The 5,714-nt window shown below is 42.2% G+C and overlaps 1 annotated feature.

Annotated features, from left to right (window-relative positions):
- Nucleotides 829–1,328: an enhancer, noted in NCBI's record as "H3K4me1 hESC enhancer chrX:103611071-103611570 (GRCh37/hg19 assembly coordinates)". NCBI's record gives its function as "activates a minimal SCP1, AML or CMV promoter by ChIP-STARR-seq in naive H9 embryonic stem cells {active_cell/tissue: H9 hESC(naive)}" and the evidence as "EXISTENCE:reporter gene assay evidence [ECO:0000049][PMID:30033119]".

Here is a 5,714-nt window from a genome sequence, read left to right as displayed (position 1 = left end):
ACATGAAAACATACAAGTTCACAGACTTTCAATCACTCTCAGCACCTCCTGTACATCATGAGCCACCTTTCATTTTCTTATCTCTGGATACAAATGGCTGTCATCATATTTCTTCAGCACATTAAATATCTCTCTGACCCCTGCCATCCAGAAACACAAATACTGTAGACGATACAAATGTTCAATTGCTAGGAAACATTCTTACCTTCCACTCCGCTACTTTACTTAGCACTTCTTACCTATGAGACTGTATTTTCACAACAAATGTGAGATCTGAAGCATTCTTCCCAGCAGGCAGAGCGGGAGGCAATAGTTTTGGCTAATGTCCATCTAAGCAGGTGCTTTCCAGTCCTGGTTTTGATAACAAAACACAGTATTTTCCTATATGTTAAGGTGGTCTTGCAAAGTCTCAATGAAAATCCGCTCTACTTTTTGAAAGCCTTGTAACACAGTGAGAAAACTGGACAAGTGATTATAACTTCAGTGAAAACATCAGTTAGCAGGGTAAAAAGGCAAGGCAGCCACAGCTAGCAAAATATCTGGAAGCATTTGATTAATTCTTTCATTTGGCATACATATATTACACTCCTGCTATGTCGCAAGTACACTGACAAGTGCAGGATACAGTGCTTGCCCTCAAGGTGATTAAAATCTGCTAAGTGGAGACAGATTCATCAACAGATGAACACAGTAGAGTGTAACGATGGAAGTCTACCCTGGGCATCAAGGAAGCTGAGGAAATAGGAGGTGATCTTTAAGGAATGCATAGGTACTAACCAATTGGATGAAGGTGGGGTGAGGGTGAGGGGATGTGGGTATGAAGGGTGTATTTCAAGCAGACGGAATGGCACAAGCAAAGGCACAGAAACAAGAAACAGCCTGAGGTTTCCAGGGAATAAAAAAGAATTCTATATGGCTAAAGAACAAGCTCTAAGATGGCCGAATAGGAACAGCTCCAGTCTACAGCTCCCAGCATGAGCGATGCAGAAGACGGGTGATTTCTGCATTTCCATCTGAGGTACAGGGTTCATCTCACTGGGGAGTGTTGGACAGTGAGTGCAGGACAGTGGGTGCAGCCCACCAAGCGAGAGTTGAAGCAGGGCGAGGCATCGCCTCACCTGAGAATTGCAAGGGGTCAGGGAATTCCCTTTGCTAGCCAAGGGAAGCTGTGACAGACTGCACCTGGAAAATCAGGTCACTCCCACACTAATAACTGCGCTTTTCCAATGGTCTTAGCAAACGGCACACCAGGAGACTATATCCCGTGCCTGGCTCAGAGGGTCCCACACCCATGGAGCCTCACTCATTGCTAGCACAGCAGTCTGAGATCAAACTGCAAAGTGGCAGCGAGGCTGGGGGAGGGGTGCCCGCCATTGCTGAGGCTTGAATAGGTAAACAAAGCAGCCAGCAGCCGGGAAGCTCGAACTGGGAGGAGCCTACTGCAGCTCAAGGAGGCCTGCCTGCCTCTGTAGACTCCACCTCTCGGGGCAGGGCATAGCTGAACAAAAGGCAGCAGAAACTTCTGCAGACTTAAATGTCCCTGTCTGGCAGCTTTGAAGAGAGTAGTGATTCTCCCAGCACAGAGTTTGAGATCTGAGAACGGACAGACTGCCTCCTCAAGTGGATCCCTGACCCCCGAGTAGCCAAAAAGGGAGGCACCTCCCAGGAGGGACAGACGGACACCTCACACGGCCAGGTGCCCCTCTGAGACAAAGCTTCCAGAGGAATGATCAGGCAGCAACATTTGCTGTTCTGCAATATTTGCTGTTCTGCAGCCTCCACTGGTGATACCCAGGCAAACAGGGTGTGGAGTGGACCTCCAGCAAACTCCAACAGACTTGCAGCTAAGGGTCCTGACTGTTAGAAGGAAAACTAACAAACAGAAAGGACATCCACACCAAAACCCCATCTGTACATCACCATCATCAAAGACCAAAGGTAGATAAAACCAAAAACGTGGGGAGAAACCAGAGCAGAAAAGCTGAAAATTCTAAAAATCAGAGCGCCTCTTCTCCTCCAAAGGGACGCAGCTCCTCGCCAGCAACAGAACAAAGCTGGACGGAGGACGACTTTGATGAGTGGAGAGAAGAAGGCTTCAGACAATCAAACTTCTCCAAGCTAAAGGAAAATGTTCCAACCCATCACAAAGAAGCTAAAAACCTTGAAAAAAGATTAGATGAATGGCTAACTAGAATAACCAGTGTAGAAAAGTTCTTAAATGAACTGATGGAGCGGAAACCGTGGCATGAGAACTACGTGACGCATGCACAAGCTTCAGTAGCCAATTCGATCAACTGGAAGAAAGGTTATCAGTGATGGAAGATCAAATGAATGAAATGAAGCGAGAAGAGAAGTTTAGAGAAAGAAGAGTAAAAAGAAACAAACGAAGCCTCCAAGAAATATGGGACTATGTGAAAAGACCAAATCTATGTCTAATTGGTGTACCTGAGAGTGACAGGGAGAGTGGAACCAAGTTGGAAAACACTCTGCAAGATATTACCCAGGAGAACTTCCCCAATCTAGCAAGGCAGGCCAACATTCAAATTCAGGAAATACAGAGAACACCACAAAGATACTCCTTGAGAAGAGCAACTCCAAGACACATAATTGTCAGATTCACCAAAGTTGAAATGAAGGAAAAAAATGTTAAGGACAGCCAGAGAGAAAGGTCGGGTTACCCACAAAGGGAGGCCCATCAGACTAACAGCTGATCTCTCGGCAGAAACTCTACAAGCCAGAAGAGAGTGGGGGCCAATATTCAACATTCTTAAAAGAAAAGAATTTTCAGCACAGAATTTCATATCCAGCCAAACTAAGCTTCATAAGTGAAGGAGAAATAAAAGCCTTTACAGACAAGCAAATGCTGAGAGATTTTGTCACCACCAGGCCTGCCTTACAAGAGCTCCTGAAGGAAGCACTAACATGGAAAGGAACAACTGGTACCAGCCACTGCAAAAACATGCCAAATTGTAAAGACCATCGAGGCTAGGAAGAAACTGCATCAACTAACGAGCAAAATAACCAGCTAACATCATAATGACAGGATCAAATTCACACATAACAATATTAACCTTAAATGTAAATGGGCTAAATGCTCCAATTAAAAGACACAGACTGGCAAATTGGATAAACAGTCAAGACCCATCAGTATGCTGTATTCAGGAAACCCATCTCACATGCAGAGACACAGATAGGCTCAAAATAAAGGGATAGAGGAAGATCTACCAAGCAAATGGAAAACAAATAAAAAGCAGGGGTTTCAATCCTAGTCTCTGATAAAACAGACTTTAAACCAACAAAGATCAAAAGAGACAAAGAAGGCCATTACATAATGGTAAAGGGATCAATTCAACAAGAAGAGCTAACTATCCTAAATATATATGCACCCAATACAGGAGCACCTAGATTCATAAAGCAAGTTCTTAGAGACCTACAAAGAGATTTAGACTCTGACACAATAATAGTGGGAGATTTTAACACCCCACTGTCAATATTAGACAGATCAACGAGACAGAAAGTTAACAAGGATATCCAGGAATTGAACTCAGCTCTGCACCTAGCGGACCTAATAGACATCTACCGAGCTCTCCACCACAAATCACCAGAATATGCATTCTTCTCAGCACTACACCACACCTATTCCAAAACTGACCACATTGTTGGAAGTAAAACACTCCTCAGCAAATGTAAAAGAGCAGAAATTATAATAAACTGTGTCTCAGATCACAGTGCAATCAAACTAGAACTCAGGATTTAAAAACTCACTCAAAACCACAAAACTACATGGAAACTGAAAAACCTGCTCCTGAATGACTACTGGGTACATAACGAAATGAAGGCAGAAATAAAGATGTTCTTTGAAACCAATGAAAACAAAGACACAACATATCAGAATCTCTGGGACACATTCAAAGCAGTGTGTAGAGGCAAATTTATAGCACTAAATGCCCACAAGAGAAAGCAGGAAAGATCTAAAATTGACACCCTAACATCACAATTAAAAGAACTAGAGAAGCCATAGCAAACACATTCAAAAGCTAGCAGAAGACAAGAAATAACTAAAATCAGAGCAGAACTGAAGGAAATAGAGACACAAAAAGCCCTTCAAAAAGTAAATGAATCCAGGAGCTGGGTTTTGAAAAGATCAACAAAACTGATAGACTGCTAGCAAGACTAATAAAGAAGAAAAGAGAGAAGAATCAATAGATGCAATAAAAAATGATAAAGGGGTTATCACCACCAATCCCACAGAAATACAAACTACCATCAGAGAATACTATAAACACCTCTATGCAAATAAACTAGAAAATCTAGAAGAAATGGATAAATTCCTGGACACATACACCCTCCCAAGACTAAACCAGGAAGAAGGTGAATCCCTGAATAGACCAATAACAGGCTCTGAAATTGAGGCAATAATTAATAGCCTACCAACCAAGAAAAGTCCAGGACCAGACGGATTCACAGCTGAATTCTACCAGAGGTACAAGGAGGAGCTGGTACCATTCCTTCTGAAACTATTCCAATCAATAGAAAAAGAGGGAATCCTCCCTAACTCATTTTATGAGGCCAGCATCATCCTGATACCAAAGCCTGGCAGAAACACAACAAAAAAAGAGAATTTTAGACCAATATCCCTGATGAACATCGATGCAAAAATCCTCAATACAATACTGGCAAACCAAATCCAGCAGCACATCAAAAAGCTTATCCACCATGATCAAGTGGGCTTCATCCCTGGGATGCAAGGCTGGTTCAACATACGCAAATCAATAAATGTAATCCAGCATATAAACAGAACCAATGACAAAAAACACATGATTATCTCAATAGATGCAGAAAAGGCCTTTGACAAAATTCAACAACCCTTCTTGCTAAAAACTCTCAAGAAATTAGGTATTGATGGGACGTATCTCAAAATAGTAAGAGCTATCTATGACAAACCCACAGCCAATATCATACTGATTGGGCAAAAACTGGAAGCATTCCCTTTGAAAACTGGCACAAGACAGGGATGCCCTCTCTCACCACTCCTACTCAATATAGTATTGGAAGTTCTGGCCAGGGCAATCAGGCAGGAGAAAGAAATAAAGGGTATTCAATTAGGAAAAGAGGAAGTCAAATTGTCCCTGTTTGCAGATGACATGATTGTATATTTAGAAAACCCCATCATCTCAGCCCAAAATCTCCTTAAACTGATAAGCAACTTCAGCAAAGTCTCAGGATACAAAATCAATGTGCAAAAATCACAAGCATTCTTATACACCAATAACAGACAAACAGAGAGCCAAATCGTGAGTGAACTCCCATTCACAATTGCTTCAAAGAGAATAAAATACCTAGGAATCCAACTTGCAAGGTATGTGAAGGACCTCTTGAAGGAGAACTACAAACCACTGCTCAAGGAAATAAAAGAGGACACAAACAAATGGAAGAACATTCCATGCTCACGGATAGGAAGAATCAATATCCTGAAAATGGCCATATTGCCCAAGGTAATTTATAGATTCAATGCCATCCCCATCAAGCTACCAATGACTTTCTTCACAGAATTGGAAAAAACTACTTTAAAGTTCATATGGAACCAAAAAAGAGCCCACATTGCCAACACAATCCTAAGCCAAAAGAACAAAGCTAGAGGCATCACGCTACCTGACTTCAAACTATACTACAAGGCTACAGTAACCAAAACAGCATGGTACTGGTACCAAAAC

Source organism: Homo sapiens, chromosome X (assembly GCF_000001405.40).
Source record: "Homo sapiens chromosome X, GRCh38.p14 Primary Assembly".
NCBI classification, from domain to species: domain Eukaryota; kingdom Metazoa; phylum Chordata; class Mammalia; order Primates; family Hominidae; genus Homo; species Homo sapiens.
Note: the sequence above shows the minus strand (reverse complement) of the source record. Positions and strands in the feature narration are given on the sequence as shown.